The sequence below is a fragment of the Homo sapiens genome, chromosome 11, assembly GCF_000001405.40.
Source record: "Homo sapiens chromosome 11, GRCh38.p14 Primary Assembly".
NCBI classification, from domain to species: domain Eukaryota; kingdom Metazoa; phylum Chordata; class Mammalia; order Primates; family Hominidae; genus Homo; species Homo sapiens.
In genome coordinates this window covers 5530402-5555664 of record NC_000011.10, presented here as the reverse complement: position 1 = coordinate 5555664, position 25263 = coordinate 5530402, and the positions used below count along the sequence as shown (strand labels likewise).

The window sequence follows — 25263 nt, the reverse complement described above, 5'->3', positions numbered from 1 at the left end:
ATAAATATAAGAATAGCAAACTGGGACAGGGTGCATCCTTTTATGCTGGTTATACTTAGGGTTTATGGCATAACCAATGCATCCAGATGAATGCCACCTTTCCAGATGAATGTCTCTTGAAGAGGCTAGGTGCCTGCTAAAAATGTTTGCTATTTTTCATAATTTTGATGTTTTCATTAGACTTCCTTCCTTCCTTCCTTCCTTCCTTCCTTCCTTCCTTCTTCTCTCTCCCTTCTCTCTCTCTCCCTTTCTCTTTCTTTCTTTCTCTCTCTCTCTTTCTTTCTTTCTCTTTCTCTTTTTCTTTTCATTTTTAGCATATGAGCCACATATATTAAAACACACATAACAACCACCACCACCACCACCACCAAGTACCTGCTGCTTTCAAGGAGCTTATTTCCACATCTAGCTCCTTCTTACCTGAAGGACTTTACACACACTTTTCTTTCTAAATGCTTTCCTTTCTGTTTTAGCCTACTGAAAATAATATAGTGTAAAGTGGAGTCGAAGAAAAGATCTGAGGTCAAACTACCTGTTAGAAATTTGGCTTTTCCACTTAACAGCTGAACAAATTTGGATATACTTTCTGTGTATCATCTTTTTTCTTGTCTGTAATATGGAAACAATAAGGGGGACCTACCTCTCTGGGAGGGAGGAAGGGCTAAATTCAATTGACTTACAGGTAGAATTCAGTATTATTTATTTTATTATATTTTTGTTAAAATCAACCTCATTTTACAATATCTTCCTCCAAGAATCCTTTCCTATCTCCTGCAGGTCCAATCGTCTTTGTTATTGATTCTCATGATAACCTATATATTTCCATAACATACATCGCAGGTAATAATTATTCTTATACATATAACCTACTGCTTATTTGAATAGTGTCTGTCTTCCTCAATAAATTATCTCCACCACGAGAGGCATTGCATCTGTTTTATACACACTATCTTTCCAGTACCTATTACATGCTTACATCTTTATTGACTGATTGGCTGCTACCCATTTCCCAGCACTCCGCTAAATATACCTAGATGATGTAAATTTACCAAAATATATCATAACTTCATGCCTCTAAGCCTTTGTATGTGTTGCTTTCTCTGCCTGAAATGTTTTTTCTCTGTCTTCTTGAGTAATCTGCATCATCCTCAAGACTCACATTGTTTCACCTATTTCTCAAGATCTTCTCTGATGCTACAGGTTTTGATAATACCTCTCCACTCAGTTTCCACAGGCATCTTTGAATTCCCTATGACTTTCATTCTGCATTGAAATTTTCTTTTACAAATCTGTTGACTTTAGCAGGTAATGTTCTCTTAAGAATAGACTGATATGTGTTTCTGAATACCTAAGGTTTAGCATCATGTCTGGTTTCCTGGGCCTGGCAAATTATTTGTAGTATTAATAAACATTTGTTCCTTTTAACTGTGCAAACTACCTTTTGTCCTGTTTAATGCTTTCTAAGTTAAATTTTACTTTTTATGCTTTCCATTTTGCTAGACTTGCTTCCATCACATTTAAATTTGTCAGAAACACACTTGTCTATCCTTTTTATCCTTGTTTATTCACACTTGTTTATCCTTTATGCATCATTTTGTTTTAGATCTTACTCATATAAGTGACATATAATTGAATTTTTAAACTTTATTTATCTTTGTGCTTTTTGATAGAGGAATTCCAGCAATCTACATTTATAAGCATAAATGATGTATTTGGTTTTATGTTGTTAACTTGTTTTATATTTTTAGTTTTCTATATATTGGTTAATTTTGTATCTTTTGCTATGCAGATATTATACATGTTATTTGCCATACAGACTCTGTAGATAATTTTGGTTATATATAGAGGAGTCTAGGAAAAGACTCGTGGGTCTGATTCCCAGCACTACCATTTCCTTCTTGTGTGACTTTTGACAAATCACTTTTCTCTGCATCCTTAAAATGTGGATAATATTATTACCTGTCTCATAGAATTGTTAAGAAAATTACAAAAGTGGTCTCATGTAGTATATTAAAGGTTTTCAAAAAATATTAGCTTCTGTTATAAAGTTTATTTGCTTTTAGCTTGACCTAGGATTTAGAATATATAAATTGTATTTTTCTTCCACTAGAGGTCCTCTCTGTATTTGTAAAAAGCACACAAACCAATTTTCTCTGATTCTTAAACAAGATTTCCTCATTAATTCCTAAGGGTGGACTGAGATTGAGCCTCATACCCTTTCTCATTTCATTCATATAGGAGGCATCAAACATCACAATCTCAGAGAACATTCTGGTCTACAAGCCTTAAGTCTCTCTATGTAGTGTCTGAGATATCAGAACAGTCGTTGAAATTGGGGTAGGGTCAGTGTTGGGACAAATTACAGTTCCAGTGATCCGTTTCTTTACATCCTTTGCTACACGTCCACGCCTCTTCTGAATTCTTGGCATCTCACAGTGAGTTGAAGCAGTTACCTGGTGTAACAGCAACATGAAAGAGTAGTGGCTGTGGAATCTAATGACCTTGGCTCTGCTAGTTACTAAAGGTGAGATGTTAGGTAAGATTATGTCTCAGTTTCAGTTTCTGTAAAAAAAAAAAAAAATGAGGTGGATAAAAATACGTATCTCAGAAGGTTTTTCTAAATAAGATAATATTTTTCAAGAAACTGGCATGTACTAGGAGTCAGTAATTGTTAATTATCTCATTTTCCCAACTGTGACCCAGTATTTTTCAGTTTCTTTCTATCCCTGCATGTAGTTAGACTACTTTTCTCTATACTCATATTTATATAGCAGCAACTTACATTGACCCAGGGAGAACTCAGTCATTAAAATGGGAACAGCAGTTTATGCAGTTTGAAGAAGATTCTAGAGTAACTGGATGATTAGTATCAGAAGTATTGGGTCTGAGAGTCTTTCTTCAAGTGATGAACATTGCTGTTAATATCAATGAGAGGTTTTTTCTTGGAATATAGGAAAGAGGCGGACCAGCCCCTAGGAAGCAGTGGAGGAAGAATTACCATACAATTTCCTCATGTTCATTATAAGCAATTTGTTTTTAGGACACAGAAGCTATTGATCTTAAAGGCCATGTACAACATGAGTGACCATGGTACAGGCCTGTTCATCCTTTTGGGTATCCCTGGACTTGAGCAGTACCACGTCTGGATCAGCATCCCATTCTGCTTAATCTATCTCATGGCTGTCGTGGCCAATAGTATCCTTCTCTACCTCATTGTGGTAGAGCACAGTCTTCATGCACCCATGTTCTTTTTCCTTTCCATGCTGGCCATTACTGATCTCATATTGTCCACCACATGTGTCCCCAAAACACTTAGCATCTTCTGGTTTGGTCCCCAAACAGTTTCCCTGGCTGTCTCACCCAATTATTCTTTCTGCACTATAGCTTTGTGTTGGACTCAGCTATACTGCTGGCCATGGCATTTGACCGCTATATGGCCATTTGCTCACCCTTGAGATACACTACTATTCTGACTCCCAAAACCATTGTCAAAATTGCTGTGGGAATATGTTTCCGAAGTTTCTGTGTTTTTGTCCCATGTGTTTTCCTTGTGAATCGTTTACCCTTCTGCAGGACACATATCATTTCTCACACATACTGTGAGCACATAGGTGTTGCCCAGCTTGCCTGTGCTGATATCTCCATCAATATCTGGTGTGGATTTTGTGTTCCCATCATGACGGTGATGACAGACGTGATCCTCATTGCTGTCTCCTACACCCTCATCCTCTGTGCTGTCTTTTGCCTCCCCTCCCAAGATGCCCGTCAGAAGGCCCTTTGCTCCTGTGGTTCCCATGTCTGTGTTATCCTCATATTCTATATACCAGCATTCTTCTCCATTCTTGCCCATTGCTTTGGGCATAATGTCCCTCATACCTTTCATATTATGTTTGCCAACCTTTATGTAATCATTCCACCTGCTCTCAACTCTATTGTCTACAGAATAAAGACCAAGCAAATCCAGAACAGAATCCTTTTGCTCTTTCCCAAGGGGTCCCAGTGATAGGTGCCTGAGCTCTTGGAGGTAGGGACAAGTTCCTAGTGTGTGTTAGGTCAAAGACTGAACCTGTGTTCAGACACCCAAGAGAAAGGACAGACTAAAATTTATTAACGAAAACTTGAGTTTTGCTTTCTTTGTGATTTGAGGCAGAAGTCTACTCAATCATTTCAGTTATAGCAAAGTAAGTTCTGAGTCTAGGAAATAATAAATATTTTTTGACTTCTAGAAACAAGAACTTTTGTAATTCCTTATGATTGCTCTAAAGTGATTATAAAACTTTTAATGAAGACAATGTAATGATTGGCAAATCTGAATGGTTTTTCAGATTTATTTATCATGGTAGTTTATTTATACATCATAGCAAGGCAGGAAAATTACCTCTTTGATGACTCTGCAGGGTTCTGGGTTTTTACTTTGTTCACTCCTATTAATTTCTAAACAACATCAAGTATAATACCTAGCACACACTAGGGACATAGGCAACATTTATCAAATAAATAAATGGCAAATAATCATAAAATTATTAATTTAAGAGTGCAGGTGTTTATATTAAGCAAAGGGATAAGGCAATGATAAAACTCAATGTTTAACTCAACCTTGAGAAAGCCAAATGAGTTGTGGGTGGGTGGAGTTTTCCACAAGGAATAAAAGGAGGAAGGCAAATTCCTATGGCTAGTAAAATGGTAAAGCACGTACAGACTAAGAAGTGGGTTTAAGACTTGACCAATTGGAAGCATTGGTGGTCTCAATTTTTTTCATGTTTGTATCTCCATAGAGATGTAGTCACAAGCCAAAAATGTACCTCTGTATGATTCATTGTCTCTTCAAATCCAGTATGCATAACTTGGTCATAGTGAGTCATTCAGTCACTTGGTCAGTAATACTTATTTTTAGGTGTCTGCCAGGCAGCAATGATAATCAATGTCTTATTTCCCTTTCAAATCTGATACGTCCTCAAAACCTGTGGTTTTTTTCTAAATAACCTCTTGGATTCCCCGGCTGAGTGCAGGCACCCTCCTCCCCTACCCCAGTAGTTCAAACCCTCACTGCTTTCACTTGACTCAAAATATCAGAGTTGTTCATGGTCTCTTTACCTTGAGACTACTTTCCCATCCCCGTGCTACTACCCTTTTCACATGTCATTGAATTTTTATTTCTACAATGGCTCTCAACATATAGTTTTAATAGAAAAGAATGTCCTTTGGACTCGGAGAATTGTGTTTGAATTTATAGTCTATCTCTTAACATGTGACAATAGCTACATGCATTGTTTCCAAAATTACTTGATGTATTTTGCATACCATAAATAAAAATATAGTCAGGTCCCACTTAACAATGAGGATAGAGTCTCATAAATGTGTTGTTAGATGATTTTATTATTGTGCAAATATCATAGAGTGTACTTACACAAACCTGTGTGATACAGCCTTGGCTCTCTATTATATTCTATAGCTCCTAGGCTACAAAACTGTACATCATGTTACTATACCGAATATTGTAGGGAAGTATAATATAATGGTATTTGTGCATCTAAACATGTCTAAACATAGACAAGGTACTCTAAAATATGGTATTGTAATCTTATGGGACAATTGTTCAGAAACATTGTTATGTGGCATATTACAAAGTATAAATAGAAAAGGCAAAAAGAAAAGTAGAAAGATTTTTAAAAATTAAGACAAAAAATAGGCCGAAAATACACTTTCCACCTGCTATGAATTTTTGTTCTCTTATTATATGTGGGTCAGAAATTGAGCTGTAAGCTTTCTAACAGTCTATGTGAGAGTTAAACATGATTAGCTACATAATTCATGATGGCTATAAGTTACAGACAGTTAATTGTTAGAGAAGCAAAACTACTTCTTATATGAAGAATGGAGAAATATCTTTAGAAAGCTCTTAAAGAATAGGCAGTAAGTGATGCAATTAATCACATTCTTACAGAATACACAAGTTCATGTGACTCTTCAGTCCCTTATCCTAGTATAGAGAGGTGAAGCAACCTCAATTTTTATTCAGCGAAAGGTAAAAATTCTGTTGGGAGCCAATACAATACTAATCTCATTAGTTCTGGTTTATTCCAGATATTCTAGAACATTCAGAGTACTGAGTGGACTCCTGGCAATCTTTATTAATTAACACATTCAACAATATTTAGCAAACGTTTGACAAACATTGACAAAAACTGACTTGGCTTTCAGAATTGTTGGGTAAAAGCCTCTTAGGTAAAAATTGATATCTGGACTTGCAGAAATTCCTGACAGTACCAGCTGGTAGACCTAACAGTTTCTCCATAAGAATATATTTTATTTGCTCATATTGTTTTTACCAATAAAAATGTTTAATGAAGTTTAATGTTTTAAAAATTATAAGTGGGAGATAAGCTATAGGTATGCAAGGGCACACATAGTAGTATAATGGACATTGGAGACCCAGAAGAGGAGAAGCTAGGAGAGGGGTGAGGGATGAAACATCACCTATTGAGTACAATCTACGCAATATGGGTGACAGGTACGCTAGAAACCCAGACTTCAACCTTATACAATTCACCCATGTAATCAAAAAACACTTGTACCCCTAAAGCCACTGGAATTTTTAAAAGATAATATTAGAATTATTTCATGTGGGCCATATAATTTTCATCTTAACAGGTGCCCTAGGTTATTCCTTTACACCATAAGTTTGCCGATATGTTAAGCATTTTCACTAGCAGTATCCTATTAATTTGTCAATCCTTATAAAATCTTGAGAGACAGGTACTAATATGACCACCTTTTAATGGAAATTAAGTAACTCATCCAAAGTCCTTTATCTGGTAAGTGAGGGCATGAACTTGAAACCTGGGTGATATGATAGGCACATACACACAGCTTTCCACCCACATACACATCAGCTTACAAATAAATAAATAAATAAAGCACTCTAAGGCAGTGTTAACTCAAAGGCATGAACAAGGTTAATAGAATCTTTTTCATCTTCTTCCCTTGAGGGTGAGAAGAGGGCATGTCAGAGTCTCTAATCCCCTAACTACCTACCTTTTCCCCACAAGGAGCAGTGAGTGATCAGAGAAAATAAATGGACAGGGAATCAACCTCTCTAACGTCCTTCCTTTTCCTTCCACTCATGTTTTTTTTTGGTTGGTGTGTCTGCTGTCTTGTAGATTTTGTCAACACACTCTTTCTTCTTTCCCTTTGGCCTGATCCCCAAGATTTGGTGAGTATTGGCTGTTTGAAGGGGTTTGATTGGGACAAGACTTAGAGAAAGTGAGTGAAAAGCCAGGGCTCTATTTCTTAGGGACCATGGGCTGGGCACTATAATTTTCTTTCCTGAGCAACTCCCATTTATAAACTGAGGTCCTGATCTCCAGTACTTGTGTATATGCTCCACTGAGTTAAGCATCAAAAGATCAGAACAGATGGACAATTACACAGCTGCGTTAAGTATGACCACAGTTAGCAGTGTTAGGAAATTTCTGTTTCAGACATGTGACAAGAGTCCATAACTCTAACTTAAAATGTAGAATTAAGTGTGCTGGTATGTGTGTATGCCCAGGGGTGCTCCTGTTAATTTTTATCCATCTTGCAATTTCTGTTCTCTTTTCCACTGCATGGTCTGGTTGTTAATGATAATACTAATGATATAAAATATAACCTAATATAAAGAAGTAAAACTTGTTACATGCTTACTATGTTTCAGGTACTATATTAAAGAATATTTTTCGGCTGGGCGTGGTGGCTCACGCCTATAATCCCAGCACTTTGGGAGGCTGAGGCAGGTGGATCACAAGGTCAGGAGTTCAAGACCAGCCTGGCCAACATAGTGAAACCCGTCTCTACTAAAAATACAAAGAAATTAGCCAGGCATAGTGGCGGGCACCTGTAATCCCAGCTACTCGGGAGTCTGAGACAGGAGAATCACTTGAACCATGGAGGTGGAGGTTGCAGTGAGCCAAGATTGTGCCACTGCACTCCATCCTGGGCAACAGTGCAAGACTCTGTCTCAAAAAAAAAATTCTTTTTTCAATGTGTATCATTTTGTCCTAATAATAATTATAAAAATTAGAAATATTAATTTCTTTTAAAAACATAGGAACCCAAATATCATGTAGTTTAAATAGCTTGCCCAGATTCACATAGCTAGTAAATTGTGGAACCAGGATTAAATTGTGAAACCTAGCTTTCTGAGGCTCCAGAGTACATGCTCTGTGCCAATATTTTGCTAACATACTGTGGATGCCTGAGAGTATGTATGTGTATCTACCATAATACCATAATTATTGCTGATAAAATTAACACTAGTTCCTTTATATCACTCAATACCTAGTCCATATTTAAGTTTCCCTAACTATTCATTAATTGAATTCAATACCTGGTTTGTTTAAACAGAATTCAATCAAGAACTACACTGCAGGCCGAGCGTGGTGGCTCACGCCTGTAATCCCAGCACTTTGGGAGGCTGAGGTGGGTGGATCACCTAAGGTCAGGAGTTCGAGACCAGCCTGGCCAACATGGTGAAAGCCCGTCTCTACTGAAAATACAAAAATTAGCTGGGGGTGGTGGCGGGCGCCTGTAATCCCAGCAACTCGGGAAGCTGAGGCAGGAGAATCGCTTGAACCGGGGAGGCGGAGGTTGCAGTGAGCCGAGATCGTGCCACAGCACTCCAGCCTGGGTGACAGAGTGAGACTCTGTCTCAATAAAATAAATAAATAAATAACCACACTGCATTTATTTGTTTTTCTCTTAAATGTACTTTAATCTGGAAATGGATTTTCCTTATCTAATATTCCCCTTCCCCCTTTAATGGCATTGACTTGAAAAAAGAAAACAGATTGTTGTAGATTTTTCCACATTGTGGATTTGTCTGATTGTTAAATGAGAGAGTTAACCGTCTGTGCACCCGTGTGTGTTTGTGAATGCTTTTGGATGACTTCATGAACATCTGTTGTATTTGAGTTCATGGAAATACAAAAACTTGAGAAAACCTTTCCTCACATATGTATGAATAAAGGATGACCTCAGACAAGTTGGGAGTGCTGTGAGTTGTTATAGAGGCATTACTGGGGAAGAAGGTATAGGACCAGTGGAGAGGTTTTAGGAATTTACAAAGCCTGTGACAGTGACAAAATCTAATTGTGAAACATTTTGTTTATATTGTCAGCACATGTGTCGGGGGAAGATGGGAGGACAGGGGGCTTGTAATTGTGTAAGATTATGTATGGGTAAATATATGGTGGCAAAATATATGACAGAATGTAAGTGTAGGTCTGGATATGCCTGAGAATGTAAGTATTAAGGGTCTGTGTTTGAGAGAGTATGTGTCTTGGGTCGATGTGTCTCTCTAATAGATGTATGTTCACAAAAAAGCAGTCCTTCTTTTGGACAGAAACCTTGACTGATAGTGTCACTAAGTCCACAGTATTAGAATATTATTCACTTACGTAGTATATAAAGTGTTGGAAAACTATTGAATTTTTTTTTTTTTTTGAGGAGAAAGGCTAGTGAACCTCAGCTATAAGGGAATTTTTTAGTTTAAATCTGACTTACACATGTTATCCAGCATAGTGTAGGAACTCATCTGGTGTTTGCTGAACTGAATTAGGTTTTTAGATGGCAATAAAGGGGTGCTGATCTTACAAATGTAAGAGCCACAGTCATCAGGTAGCTTTAAGAGAAGCAAACAGTTGTCTTGGGGGCAGAGACAGATAATTCACAATGACAGAGCAAGCAGATCCTAAACAATGATGTCCATAAGGTCATATGAGCTATAATCCACCATGAAAAAGTGTATTCTGTACTTTGTTAACTTGTATGGGAGAACAGTGTATAAGGAAGAGTGTAACCAGTCTGGAAGGCTTCCTGTAGAAGCTGTGCAAACTACTGGGGGAGGTCAGAAGAAAGAAAAGATTCTCTTCAGGTAGTTTAATAATGTATCTATTTGTATCTGGAACAATCTTGGTTTTTGCATGTTGCTACCATTATTACTAATTTTAACCTTTGTTCATTTCAGACAGGTTCTATTTTGGATGACAAATTATATGGTCACTTTATCTTCAGGAGGCAATAATTATAATTAGTTGAAAGTTTGAGAGTTACTCAAGTTTCTCTATCCTTAATCACCCTCTGTCTTTAGGGGCTGAGATTTATGCCATCTGCCTCTGCCATGATCATTTTCAACCTGAGCAGTTACAATCCAGGACCCTTCATTCTGGTAGGGATCCCAGGCCTGGAGCAATTCCATGTGTGGATTGGAATTCCCTTCTGTATCATCTACATTGTAGCTGTTGTGGGAAACTGCATCCTTCTCTACCTCATTGTGGTGGAGCATAGTCTTCATGAACCCATGTTCTTCTTTCTCTCCATGCTGGCCATGACTGACCTCATCTTGTCCACAGCTGGTGTGCCTAAAGCACTCAGTATCTTTTGGCTAGGGGCTCGCGAAATCACATTCCCAGGATGCCTTACACAAATGTTCTTCCTTCACTATAACTTTGTCCTGGATTCAGCCATTCTGATGGCCATGGCATTTGATCACTATGTAGCTATCTGTTCTCCCTTGAGATATACCACCATCTTGACTCCCAAGACCATCATCAAGAGTGCTATGGGCATCTCCTTTCGAAGCTTCTGCATCATCCTGCCAGATGTATTCTTGCTGACATGCCTGCCTTTCTGCAGGACACGCATCATACCCCACACATACTGTGAGCATATAGGTGTTGCCCAGCTCGCCTGTGCTGATATCTCCATCAACTTCTGGTATGGCTTTTGTGTTCCCATCATGACGGTCATCTCAGATGTGATTCTCATTGCTGTTTCCTACGCACACATCCTCTGTGCTGTCTTTGGCCTTCCCTCCCAAGATGCCTGCCAGAAAGCCCTCGGCACTTGTGGTTCTCATGTCTGTGTCATCCTCATGTTTTATACACCTGCCTTTTTCTCCATCCTCGCCCATCGCTTTGGACACAATGTCTCTCGCACCTTCCACATCATGTTTGCCAATCTCTACATTGTTATCCCACCTGCACTCAACCCCATGGTTTACGGAGTGAAGACCAAGCAGATCAGAGATAAGGTTATACTTTTGTTTTCTAAGGGTACAGGATGATGTTTTACTAGGATAAGTTTATAGTGTACAGAAATGTAGAAAGAGTGAAATGGCAAATGCTCTTTAAAGCAAGAACTACCTGAAACTGCTTTCATGTGCCAAGAATGTGGCATGATCTGTATGACAATGATGGTCATATGTATAAAAAAAATCCTTGATGACCTCTTTGCTTGTGAAATAGGGGGCTGTACAGAATATGATCAGGAAGAAGGAGATGAAAACACAGAGCAAAATTACTCTAAATTGAAAAAGAGATAAAAATTTGGAAATTGAGATTTGCAGCTATTATAAGTGAGTTTGTTAAGTAAAACAGAAACACTGAGGAAGAGGGAATAAAAGTAAAAAGATCAGTGAGAAATTTCTCAGTGAGAGGATTACCAGATGGATATTTAGGACATTAATGATAACATTTGATTCTAATTATCTTCCTTTTATGTTTCACTGTAATTCCCTTTAAATGTTTCCTCCCTATGCACACACAATATGAAAAATTGAAGAGCCTTCAGTACAAGCCTGCTAAAATAATGTTATATCAGCAGTGCTATGAAGGGAATGAGTGAATTAGCATATTGATCAATGAATGGTAGGGTTGCTGGCTTTGGTGCTGGGAGAGGAGAGTTGCTTCTAGGCCCCAAGATGCATTGAGAAAGTGAGCTGCAGTGGTAGTACTGGGAGAACATAACCCCTCAAAATAGTTGGAGATTTGAGTCAAGAGCTGGACTTCTCACAGTACACAGATTAGACTTCTGTACATTTAGAAACTAAAGTAATAATGTAACCATACTAGTTAGAGGATCTGTGGAACACTGTTCTATATACTGCAGTTCCTTGATTGCAAGACACATTTTTACAGTGAGGAGAGGGAATGAGGGTGGGAAAACTACAATAAAGTAACACATCCATGGAAAAACGCATCCAAATTTTGTAAGCATTGGAACTGAGAAAATACTATATGTTGAGATCAAAGAAGGAAATTAGAAGCATAATCATAAACTGTTATTAAATGTAGAGTTGATCTATCCCAGTGGTTTCCGAGGTAATCCTAAAGAGCTGGACTCTGAGAGGTTGCTTTAAGGTGCATCTCAAGGCTTATGTGAAGGAAGTTTCTTGTCTTATTTTTCCACAATCACAGCAGATCTGATATTATCTAGTTTTGCTTGTGTATCAAGCACTTAGGTAAGATTCTACTTGAACAATAAAGTTTCTCCAATAAATCCTGTTTTGAAAATCATCCATTCTTTGGCTGTTATTAAAATGTGAAAAGAAAAACAGGTGCTGGTGAGGTTATGGAGAAAAAGGAACACTTATACACTGAGAGTGGGAGTGTAAATTAGTTCAACCATTGTAGAAGACAGTGTGGCAATTTCTCAAAGACCTAAAGACAGAAATATCATTTGACCCAACAATCCCATTACTGGGTATATACAAAGGAATATAAATGGTTCTATTATAAAGACACATGCATGCATATGTTCATTGCATCAATATTTACAATAGCAAAGACATGGAATCAACCCAAATGCCCATCAATGTTACACTGGATAAAAAAACGTGGTACATATACACCATGGAACACTATGCAGCCATAAAAAACAATGAGATCATGTCCTTTGCAGGAACATGGATGGAGCTGGAGGCCATTATCCTTAGCAAACTAACACAGGAACAGAAAACCAAATACTGTATGTTCTTACTTATAAGTAGGAACTAAATAATGAGAACACATGGACACATAGAGGGGAACAACACATACTGGGGCCTATCAGAGGGTAGAGGATGAGAGAAGGGAGAGGATTAGGAAAAATAACTAATGGGTACTAGGCTTAATATCTGGATGATGAAATAATCTGTACAACAAACCCCCATGACACAAGTTTACCTACGTAACAAACCTGCACATGCATCCTAGAACTTAAAAGCAAAAGTAAAATTATAAAAAAGAAAATCATCCATTCATTTGGAAACTATTTATTGAGGACCTTCTGTATTTTAGATAGTGTTCTAAGCATTTGGGATTATGAGGCGTCTCTGCCTTGCTTCCATGGATTTTATATTCTTGGGAGAGTGATAAGCAATAAAACAAAGAAATTAGTTCATTGCTTAAAAATATTAATATAATAAATGAAAAAAATAAAGTTGAATAAGATGATGGACTAAAACTGGCCTGGAGGACAATGGCAGAGAGGACAGCAAATGAAAATACTCTCGGGCTGAAAAGAGCTTGACATGAATTGAGGATAGAAACAAGGCCAGAGCGGCTGCAGCAGAGTGGATCCAGGGAGGGGATAGGGCATGAGGGATGGGGAGGGGTAGGGCCAGATCCTGTGGAACTGAAACTATCCAAATCTCATTCTCAGAAGAGGAAACTGAAGATCAAAAAGTATAAATAACTTTTCCAAGGCACACAGCAAGGAAGTTATTAATATGGAGCTAGAATACAATCTGCTAACTCCCAGTTCAGTGATATTCTCATTAAACACGGCCTCATGCTTATGAAAATAGACTCCAAAGGAAGGGAAAAAAATCTGGGAAGATCAGAGCCTACTTTTATGGTTTTTATAATCTCTAGTTCTTTTTTAAAGTTTTAATTAATTTACATTTCAGTTATTTTTAAATTTTTAATTGACAAACATAAATTGTATATATTATGGGGTCACATGTGACGTGATTATACATGTATACATTGTGGAATGATTAAATCAGGCTAATTAAGTTATTCATCACCTTATATACTTATTTCTTTATGGTAAGAACATTTAACATCTATTCTTTTAGAAATTTTGAAGTATTCAATACATTATTATTAACTATAGCCACCATAGGGTACAATAGATCACTAGAACATATTCCTCTAGTCTAACTGAAAATTTGAACACTGACTAATATCTTCCCTTTTCCTGTCCACTCCCCAGTCTGGTAACCACCATTGTACCATCTACTTCAATGTGAACTCTAGTTACTTAAAATTAAGCCACATCTGACTGTATGAGAGTTCTGCTCTCTGTGCCAATTTACAAAAGTGCCCACAGATACCAGAAGATTTTCTAGTATTCTGTTATTCTCTTCTGGTTATTACCATGTTGCTGAGAACACGGATTGACCAAGATATAATATTTTTTAAGTTTATGGAAGGAATAATAAATTGATACAGAGTTGAGATAATTTAAAAGTACACACTCCTTTCATCCTGGTAGGTGTTGAAACCCATGATTATTCACTAATACACATGAATGGCTCTCATGAAAGACAAATAGCCCAAGAAACCCCAGTGAAAAAGAAACTGATGTCTATATAGTCTCCTATTCCTCCTTCCACCCTCTATCTCTGGCTCAATCATCTGCTGTTATTTTTCTACCCTCTTCCCCAGGAGGATTCATTTATTTCTATGACTATATAAACTTTTTGCTTGTTATGCTATACTTTAGTTTTTATATGTGATCTTTCTCAGCTCATAGGATGACTAGGATTAAGAAATGTAGATAAATGTGCTTTGCAGATTGCAAAATGCTATTTTAATATTAGCTGCTACGTTAGTATTTTTTTGTTTGTATAAATTCAAAAGGTACAAGTGCACTTTTATTACATGGACATATTGCATAGTGGTGAAGTACGGGCTTTTAGTGTATCCATAAATTCTAATAATATTAATTCTTCTGATCCATGAGCATGGGTTATTTTTTCATTTGTTTGTGTCATCTACAATTTCTTTCATCAGTGCTTTGTAGTTCCTCTTGTAGAGATATTTAACCTCCTTGGTTAAATGTATTCCTAGGCATGTTTTTTGGTAGTTAGTGTAAGTGAGATTGCCTTCTTGATTTGATTCTCTGCTTTATTGTTATTGGTATATAGAAATGCTACTGATTATTGTATGTTGGTTTGTATCTTGAAACTTTACTGAATTCATTTATTAAATCTAGAGTTTTTTGACAGAATTTTGGGGTTTTCTATATATAAAATCGTGTTGTTAGCATAAAGAGATAATTTGACTTCTTCCTTTCTGATTTGGATGGCTTTTATTTCTTTCTCCTGCCTGATTTTTCTGCCTATGACTTCCAGTACTATGTTGAATAGGAGTAGTAAAAATTGGCATCCTTGTCTTGTTCCAGTTCTTAGAGGGAATGCTTTAAAATTTTCTCTGTTCGGTATGTGGTTGGCTATGGGTTTCTCATATGTGCCCTTTATTATTTTGAGGTAAGTATCTCTAATGAACATAGACACAAAAATCCTCACGCAAATACTAGCAAAATGAATCCAACAGCACATCAAAAACAAAACATCGTGACCAAGTGGGTTCTATTCCTGGGGTGCAATGATGTTTCAACATACACAAAATGATAAAGGTGATTCATTACATAAACAGAATTAAGGACAGAACAATAGATGTAGAAAAAGCATTTGATAAAATTTAGCATCCCTTCACAATAAAAAAAAAACCCTTAACAAGCTAGGTATAAGAACATACTTCACAATAATATGTTAGTGTCTTTACTAATTAGTGCTGTCATTCTCACCTCAGACCCATTGTGTTTAAACCTGAGCTTATCAGTTTGTCATTTAAAATCCTCCCACATTTTTATGGTTTATAGGAGTAGAAAACAGGTTAGGCTCAGTTTTGCTTCCCACAAGTTCACATTTACCACCCTAGGTGACAATTATTCTTTCTGGTCAGGAAGGTTGCAAGTTTTCCATCCCATTCTTAGACCATGAATGAAATTACAAGTTCTGGTTTGGACTAAAACATAGTAATTATCTAAAAATCAGTAGGTAACTTTACAACACACAAATGATCTTATCCTATATATCTTCCCTTTGTGCAAATTCCCAATTTCTTACACTGGAGACTCCATCCGTAGGGGAATTGTGACTTACTTTATCTTCTCACCCACAGAATCTAGTATGGTATTCTACAAATTGTAAGAATCAATGAACAAGTTCCTAACATCTTCTCTTCTAGACTTTCCACATCTAACCATTCTTTAGATATTTATTATTCCATTTCAGTAGCCCCTGGGATTTTAGTCCTACTCACCCCTCAGTCCCATTTGCCCTTATGTTAACCCAGATACCTGCAACTTGTATCTAGGCCAAATATTGAATATATGCTTTTTTTTTTTTTTTTTTTAAGACGGAGTCTCGCTTTGTTGTCCAGGCTGGAGTGCAGTGGCGCGATCTCAGCTCACTGCAACCTCCGCCTCCCAGGTTAACACCATTCTCCTGCCTCAGCCTCCCAAGTAGCTGGGACTACAGGTGCCCGCCACCATGCCCAGCTAATTTTTTTGTATTTTTAGTAAAGACGGGGTTTCACCATGTTAGCCAGGATGGTCTTGATCTCCTGACCATATGCTTTATGTTATATATCAATGACAATAGAGGTAACTTCTGTGTTCAGAAGAATAATGTGAGGCTTACAAAGAATCAACAAAATCAAAATTTGGTTATTTGGAGGATAAACAAGATTAATAGACTGTTAGCTAGATTTAAAAAGAAAAAAAGAGAGATTCAAATAAACATAACCAGAAACAAAAGTGGCGTTATAACCAATCCCATAGAAATACAAAAGTTCCTCAGAGACTCTTATGAACACCTCCACACACACAAACTAGAAAATCTAGAGGAAATGGATAAGTTTCCTGGAAACACACCATCTCTCAAGATTGAATCAGGAAGTAGTTGAAACACTGAACCAACCAATGTCAAGTTGCAAAATTGAATCAGTGATTAAAAAACACCCTACCGACCAAGAAAAGCCCTAGGCCAGATGGATTTATAGCCAAATTCTACCAGACATACAATGGAGAGCTGATATTTATTCAACTGGAACTATTCCAAAAAATCAAGAAGATACACCTTTCTGACTAATTCTATGAAGCCACATTTCCTTGATACCAAAACCTGGCAAAGATACAACAACAACAAAAAACTGTGGGCCTATATCCCTGATTAACATAGATGCAAAAATCCTCAACAAAATATTAGCAAGTGAAAACCAGTACTACATCAAGAATTTCATTCACCATGATCAAGTACACTTAATTCCTGGGATGCAAGGTTGCTTCAGCATATGCAAATCAATCATATGCCTAAACATATGACATAAACAGAATTAAAACCAAAAATTGTATAGTCATCTCAATAGATGCAGAAATAGCTTTCGACAAAATCCAACATTTCTCCATGATAAAAACCCTTGAGAAACTAGGCATTGAAGGAATATACCTCAAAATGACAGAGCCATCTAAGACAAACCCACAGCCAACATCATACTGAACAGAAAAAAGCTGGAAGCATTTTCCTGGGGATCTAGAGCAAGAAGAAGAATGCTACTCTGACCGCTTCTATTCAACATAGTACTGGAAGTCTTAGCCAGAGCAATTAGGCAAGAGAAAAAAATAAAGGCATCCAAAGAGAAAAAAAAAAAGTCAAACTATCTCTCCTTGATGATATGTGTTTTTTTTTTTAATCTAGAAAACCCCAAAGACTACACCAAAAGGATCCTGGAACTGATAAATAACATCTTAAAGTTTCAGAATACAAAATTAATGTGCAAAAATCAGTAGCATTTCTACATACTGATAATGTCCAAGCTGACAGCCAAAGCAAGAACACAATCCCATTTATATTAGCCACACGTGCACACACACACACACACACACACACACACACACACCTAGAAATACAACCAATGAAGGAGTTGAAAGATCTTTAAAAGAACAACTACAAGGCTGGGCGTGGTGGCTCACGCCTGTAATCCCAGCACTTTGTGAGGCTGAGGCGGGTGGATCACCAGGTCAGGAGATCGAGACCATCCTGGCTGCAGAGATGGTGAAACCCCGTCTCTACTAAAAATACAAAAACGAAATTAGCCAGGCGTGGTGGTGGGCGCCTGTAGTACCAGCTACTCGGGAGGCTGAGGCAGGAGAATTGCGTGAACCCGGGAGGTGGAGCTTGCAGTGAGCAGCGATCATGCCACTGCGCTCCAGCCTGGGTGACAGAGTGAGACTCTGTCTCAAAAAAAAAAAAAAAAAAAAAGAAGAACTACAAACAGTGCTGAAAGAAAGCACAGACGATACAAACAAATCGAAAAACATTCCATGCTCATGGATTGAAAGAATCAATATTGTTAAAATGGTCATACTGACCAAAGCAAAATACAGAATTGATGATATTTCTATCAAATTACTAATTTAATTTTTCACAGAATTAGAAAAAACTCTTCTGAAATTCATGTGGCACTAAAAAAAAGCCTGAATAGTCAAATCAATCCTAAGGAGAAAGAACAAATCTGGAGACATCACATTATTTTACTTCAAACTATACTATAAGGCTACAGTAACAAAACCAGCATTGTATTGGTATAAAAACAGACACATAGACCAATGGAACAGAATAGAGAAACCAGAAATAGTGCCACATATCTACAGTCATCTGATCTTCAACAAGTTGACAAAAATAAGTAACAGGAAAAAGACACCCTATTTAATAAGTGGTGCTGGGATAACTGGCTAGCCATATGCAGAAGAATGAAACTGGAACCCTACATTTTACTATATACAAAAATTAAGTCAAGATGAATTTAAAAGTTAAATGTAAGACCTCAAACTATAAGAATCCTAAAAGAGTACATAGAAAACACCATCTGGACATGGGCCTTGGGAAAGAATTTATGACTAAGTCCTCAAAAACAATTGCAACAAAACCCAGAATTGACAAATAGGACCTAATTATGCCAAATAGATTATTCACAGTAAAAGAAACTGTCAATAGTGCAAACAAACAGCCTGGGAGAAAATATTTGAAACAATGCATCTGACCAAAGTCTAACATCCAGGTTGTATAAGAAACTTAAACAATTGAACAAGCATAAACTCAAAACACTCCATTAAAAATGGGCAAAAGATATGAACAGGCATTTCCAAAAAGAAGATATATGAGTGTCCAGCAAACATATGAAAAAATGCTTATCATAATTAATCACTACAGAGTTGCAAAAAAATTCAAGCCTTGCTTTTACTATTATATTTGAAAGACATAGAAAGCTTTCAATAAGTATAACCAGTATAAGAAAACATAGAAAATAATTAAAGTATTCCCCAAAATTGCATACATTGTTCTTTGAAAGTGTGCATATGGGCGATTAATGTAGAGGACTTAGATTTTATATTAGACACATGAGATTTTGTCATTCTGCAATTATAGTTAAACAAAAAAGTTTTAAGTAAAATAGTGAAAGCCTTATCTTAAAAGTCTAGACACACAGGTGGAAGAATACAGTTTATGTCAACCTTTAAAATTATGTCAAGTGAACTTGCATCCTGCTTGTTAATTTATCTAATTCAGGTTGTACTGATGACAATGCTACTTGCAGGCAATAATTTATAATTTATAATTAAACTATTTTTGTGTGTGTTTGTGTTAGCTTTTGCTTTTCTAATGTTTGTAGTAGGATAACTTGTCTCCCAAAGGTCTGTTAATAGGAATAAAAGAAATGATTTTAGAGACATTTTGTCATTTTCAAGACAATTATTTTTATATTTTTTAAAAAATTAGCCAAGCAGGCTATATTTTTAAAATTTTTCTTCAATGCTTAATTAGTGGCCAGTTTCAACAATTTATCCTATACATTTATAGTTAAATTTAATTCATTTTTTCTTTTCTTTTTTCTTTTCTTTTCTCTTATTTATTTATTTTTTTGAGATGGAGTCTCGCTCTGTCGCCCAGGCTGGAGTGCAGTGGCATAATCTCAGCTCACTGCAACCTCCCCCTCCCGGGTTCAAGCGATTGGCTGTCTCATTCCCCTGAGTACCTGGGATTACAGGCGCACACCACCACACCTGGTTAACTTTTCTATTTTTAGTAGAGACAGGGTTTCACTATGTTGGCCAGGCTGGTCTCGAACTCCTGACCTCAAGTGATCCACCCACCTCAGCCTCCCAAAGTGCTGGGATTACAGGCATGAGCCACCATGCCTGGCCAAACTCATTTTTTTTTCTTCAGTGAAAAATTAGATTCTGAATTCATGAACTTCCTATGTGTGGATTTTTTTGGATAGGAAATAAAATTCAAACATTCTGTTAAATTAGCAAGGGGTATAGTGATAACTTTTTACAGATATGTAATATAAGCTCATCGATTATTTTATTGAAAATTTTTATTATAAAAATATGTTAATTGTTCTATACAAATTCTGTTCTTCCAAACTTCTAACTTCAATATGTGCCTCTAAAACTTACTTACTGTGAAAGAACATGTTACATGACATATTAAGAATATTGAAAATAACAAAGATAGCCAGGTAAGAAAATCTGGCAGAACCAAACAGGTTTCTGATTCTGCAGAAACACTAAAAGTTCATCCCACAGGGCAAACATCTCAATAGAAACGTTCACCTTCATAGCTATTGCTCCTCATCAGGCGGCAACTCCTTGTTTCTGATCAGTTTCCATGTTACCACACAATAAAGAGAATAATCTAGTATTTACCACATTAAGCTAGTTATAATCCCATTCTTATTACAGCACTAAATATATTATTCAGTTTAATTGTCTTTTTTTTCCCTTGAAAACCTTTTGATTTACATTCTGTGTAAGTTCTTTAATTTTGCAAACTAGCTCTTTCACTTTTGCTAAGTAATATTTACCTGTCTGTTACTATTCCACCAGAACATGCTTTTACACCAAACTTAAACCCTAAACTGTGTTTGTTGATATTGTATTTTTCACAATTTTATGTAAGGTTAAGAGTTAGGTTTGTCATCAAGAAAGTCGAAAAAATAATTCTTCCTTCACATCACTGTCATGTTCTAATCACACATTTAAAAAATAATTATCACGTTAGCAATGTCTGTGTATTCATCAAGTTGCAATGAAAAACACTTTGTGAGCTTTATTTGTTCTGTGAGTTGGACTTCCTTATCATTAACTAGTTTCTAAATATGCAAAGTTATGTTGTTGGAAAATGGGCAACCTGTTCTGGGTAGAGGCTACCAGTAACAAGAGGGAGTGAATGCTGGATTCCTCACTGAGGAAGGCCAGAACTAAGTCATGACATTTGAACAGTGGGCTGGTTGTTGTTTATTGGGCCACACCATAATTACCACTTGGAAAAGCTCAATATGAGAGGGGGTTAATGTACTATTCTGGAATATCAAAACACATGACCACGACTTTATAATAATATGTTTGTTGTTGCTTTTCATAAGTTGTGAATTTGTTCTGTGATTGTATACAAAGAAGTTCATTCAAACTAAGGACTAAAAACAAACATAAACCATGGGTGATTGTGAAAGAGGTGCCATTACTACATTCTACTATATTGCCCTAAATGGGAGAGTGTGCATTTTTTTGAGGAAGGGAAGGTATTGTGAAAACAGTAATGTGTATAAGGGAGAAACAGTTTCTCTGTGTGGCTCCAGCAGGCATCTCAGATAGGCAGAGTGTGTCTTCTAACTGACTCTAAGTCACTTACCTTGTATAATGTTGTGTCAATTCTACTGAGCTCAAGGGACCCCAATAGGTGCTTTATGAATGTTACACTAATCTTTACAGCCGCTTTTTGGGGAAGATAGCCTAATCTTCATTGTACAGGGAAAAAACTCAGTGTAGAAGAGTTAAGGAGAGTGCTCAAGAGGGCTCTTCTGCACTGAGTTTTGTCCCTGTAAAAAACACAGTAGCGCAGCATTATTCAAAAGTCTACACTCTTTCCACCAAGCTGCTTTGCCTCTTTATACAGCTAAGAGGCAGAAACAATATTAAAGAATGACAGCTGTCAATTTCCGGATGGTGACTTGGTTTGTCATTTGTTTACAACAAAGCACTTGTATATTTGAGTTTGCTGCTGCCCCATCCAGTGGTTCTGCAAAGACCTCGCTGATCGGTCTCCACTTTTCCCCAGGTCCTGAGAATGCCAGGCATGTAAATCTGGAGTCCAGAAAAATCCATAGAGATGTAACTTCAACTGTCTGCTAATTCCTCATTAACAGTTCACAGCTGAGACTAGCAGATCATCAATCTGCCTGGGGCTCAGAGTCCATCCCCTCTGAAGTGCTCACAGAAGAGACCCATAAATTCTTCTCACCCATATTTGCCTTCTCTCAGCCTTTCCAAAGGAGCATCTTGGAGTGCCTTAGTTCCCAGGTGCTCTATTAGCTGAATGGCGATGTTGAGGCAGTAGGGACTGAAGCAGGATTGGATGGATGGAGACGGGATGCTCATTCCTCGTTTTTAATCTCACCTCCAACAGCAGAGAGGTGAGAAGCCCCTGTCCCAGCAGCAACAGGAATTCCTCAGCCAAGACCAGTTACACCCTAAACACAGTTTGGGGCTTCTGCAAAGTCTCTTCAGCTAACCCCACTGGATTTGTTCCACATTGAGCCAAACACTGAAGGTTAAACGTGCCAAAACCCCAGGAAATGTCCCAGGAAACCTCTCTGAACTGATGAAAATGAGTTTCTCAGACTTTTTTTCAGAGAGCAACTTTGGAGTGCAAAAGAGAGCATGTAGTTGAGGACGAGTGCAGAAATTAAGCTTGAGAACTGGGGCTGAGGTGTCACCTCTCCCTCATCCCAGGTCAGAGTGATGTAGAAAGCTGGGGCTTGGGAACAATGACACCATATTTCCCATTTCATTTAGAAGTAGTCTTTTAACCAGACTAATTCCTGTGGCTCTATTGGCAAAGAAAGTTCTTTTTTTGATCAAACTGAATCTTTCATCTTGCCTTTCAACCATTTTTTTGAAGTTGGGACTATTCTGCTTCCAAATATTCTAATTCAGTTCCCAAATCATCTTAAAAAAATTAAGATATATTAAAAGACTAAGGCCGAGTGCAGGGGCTCATGCCTGTAACCCTAGCACTTTGGGAGGCCGAGGCGGAGGGATCACTTGAGGTCAGGAGTTCGAGACCAGCGTGGTCAATGTGATGAAACCCCACCTCTATTAAAAACACAAAAATTAGCTGGGCCTGTGACGGGCATCTGTAATCCCAGCTACTTGGGAGGCTGAGGTAGGAGAATTGCTCGAACCTGGGAAGCAGAGGTTGCAGTGAGCCAAGATTGCGCCACTGCACTTCAGCCTGGGCAACAGAGCAAGACTCTGTCTCAGAAAAAAAAAAAAAAAAAAAAAGAGACTATCAGATTATGAAACTGAGAATTAAGAATGCAGTGGAAGGAGGCTTTAAAGGGACGAATTCAAGGAGTGATAGAACACTGCTAATGATAATAATGATAACATTTAATGTGCTGGACATTTACTGTGTTACAGGCACTGTTGTGTCCTATGTAATTGTTTTACATATGTCATTTTATTTAATCCTTACAATGTTCCATATAAAGCAGATGCATTTGTTTTTATACCAAATTTAGAGATAAGGAGATTGAGGCACAAAGAAGTTGAGAATTTTGTCCAAAGTCGCACAGTTTATATGTGGCAGATCTAGGATTTGAACCTAGATGATCTGACTTTAGAGTCTGCCCTGGATTTTACGCCTGTGCTGAAGTGGGAATAAACAGGAATAGGAAAAAATGTAGCATTTTGCTGTTTCCCTTTCACCTCTATCTTCCAAAATCAGGGTAACGACCATGTATTCTGATTAAACGATGGTTCTAAGTTGTTAATTTATCCATCCCATATCACACAGCACCACCTACACTGAACATAGGGTGTTCAAATTCATTTCTTGAACTGATACTATGGCCCTTTTTTTTTCTCTAGAGCATCCATCTGCACTTAATATGTATCTTGATGTTCTTCTCTAACCTGGAGGGGATGCCTTGTCCCTCAAGCCTCTTAGACAAATTGTAGTATGTGAACCCCTCTTAGCAGAATGGGCCCTAGGAGCCAGGGTCACCCTGAGAAGGATCAACAGAACAAAGATGAGGGAGGTGGTGACCTCAGTGTGAGCTCTAGCCTGGAACCCTATGGGGGAGCTCTACCCTGGAATCCTATGGTAACAGTCTCAGTCTGAAGGTGGTTTGTGCAGGTCTCTGCACCACTGAGGCCCCTAGGAGCATGCGTGTATGAATAAAGTCAGGACAAGCACACCCTTAGAGTAGGAATGGAAACCCAGAAAGAAATGGAGCTTTAGAATCTGGGTGAGTGGCACAGGCAGCTCCTTCCAGCAAGAAGAAAACTACTGTCAATGAAACAGGAATTAAAAGAAATTAAAGAATGTGTAAGCAAAAACCCAGTTGTATGTAAGAAAACCCAATTCCCCCTGAGGAAGAGAAAGAGCTGAAGTCCCTTAAAAAGTAACTGCCTGTTTTTCTGTGGCTAGTGAGCCTTATCTCTCCCTTTCCCAGGCATTGTGAAGACCCTGTTTCTCTAGCTGTGCAGCTGCAAGGACACTAGGCAGATAAACTCAAGTCGTAAGACATGTTTTTCCTTGAAAAGTAACAAATGATGTAATGCATGTCTCAACTGAATAACTATTTTTGTTTTTTGCTTCTATAATATGCTTCCCCCTGCACAGATCTCCCCCTGCCCCAAAAAATGCTTAAAAGGTAACCAGACTCTTTGTTCGGGACTCAGTCTTTTTGGATGTTAATCTGACTGGGCTGGTGCACCTAAATAATAAATAATAAGTATCCTCCTCAACCCCTCGGTCTCTCTGATTCCTAAATTATCCTGCTGCATCAAGAGAGGAACAACGCTAAGAATGCGGGAGAAGAAACAATCTCGGACTAGCATTCAGAAAATCTGGTTCCTAACCCCAGATCTATGTAACATTTTCCTTTTTACACATGGGTTTCCTGATCCTAGAAAGAAGCACAAGATAGTGTAATGTCTCTGCAGTAGCATCACCCCCAATAAGATGCTCCAGAACTCTGAGCCACATCCAGCCCAGAGCCAGGCCAGTGCATGGAAACTCAGGCAGAATAGAGATGCCACTTTACTTCTCCCTCTGCATGTCCTTTGCTAAACTCTCAACTTGCAGAAGAAGCTGAGCTGATGTGGCTAGGATATGGGGCCAGGGGCTGGGAAGACGAGAGAGCAGAACACGCAGGTGGCAGATGAGAAGGGTGCAGTTATTCCTGCTAAGAACAAGATACAGGGCAGAGGCTGAGGTGGGAGAGTCCGGGTGCAAAGGGATCCTCAGCTTCCTCTTCCTACCCTTTATGTAGCTTATGGGAGGAAATGGAAAGAGAAATATTTGTTGTGGACATGGAT

The 25263-nt window shown here is 37.8% G+C and overlaps 1 protein-coding gene and 1 pseudogene across 1 annotated transcript; both read left to right on the top strand.

The window, feature by feature from the left end:
* OR52H2P (olfactory receptor family 52 subfamily H member 2 pseudogene) lies at positions 3069 to 4000 on the top strand (annotated as a pseudogene).
* OR52H1 (olfactory receptor family 52 subfamily H member 1) lies at positions 7125 to 11104 on the top strand. The gene is made up of 2 exons (NM_001005289.5): positions 7125 to 7213; positions 10130 to 11104. Exon 2 carries the CDS (start codon positions 10160 to 10162, stop codon positions 11102 to 11104), a length of 945 nt encoding a protein of 314 aa, NP_001005289.2. The 5' UTR covers positions 7125 to 7213; positions 10130 to 10159.
* The last annotated feature ends 14159 nt before the right edge of the window (positions 11105 to 25263 follow it).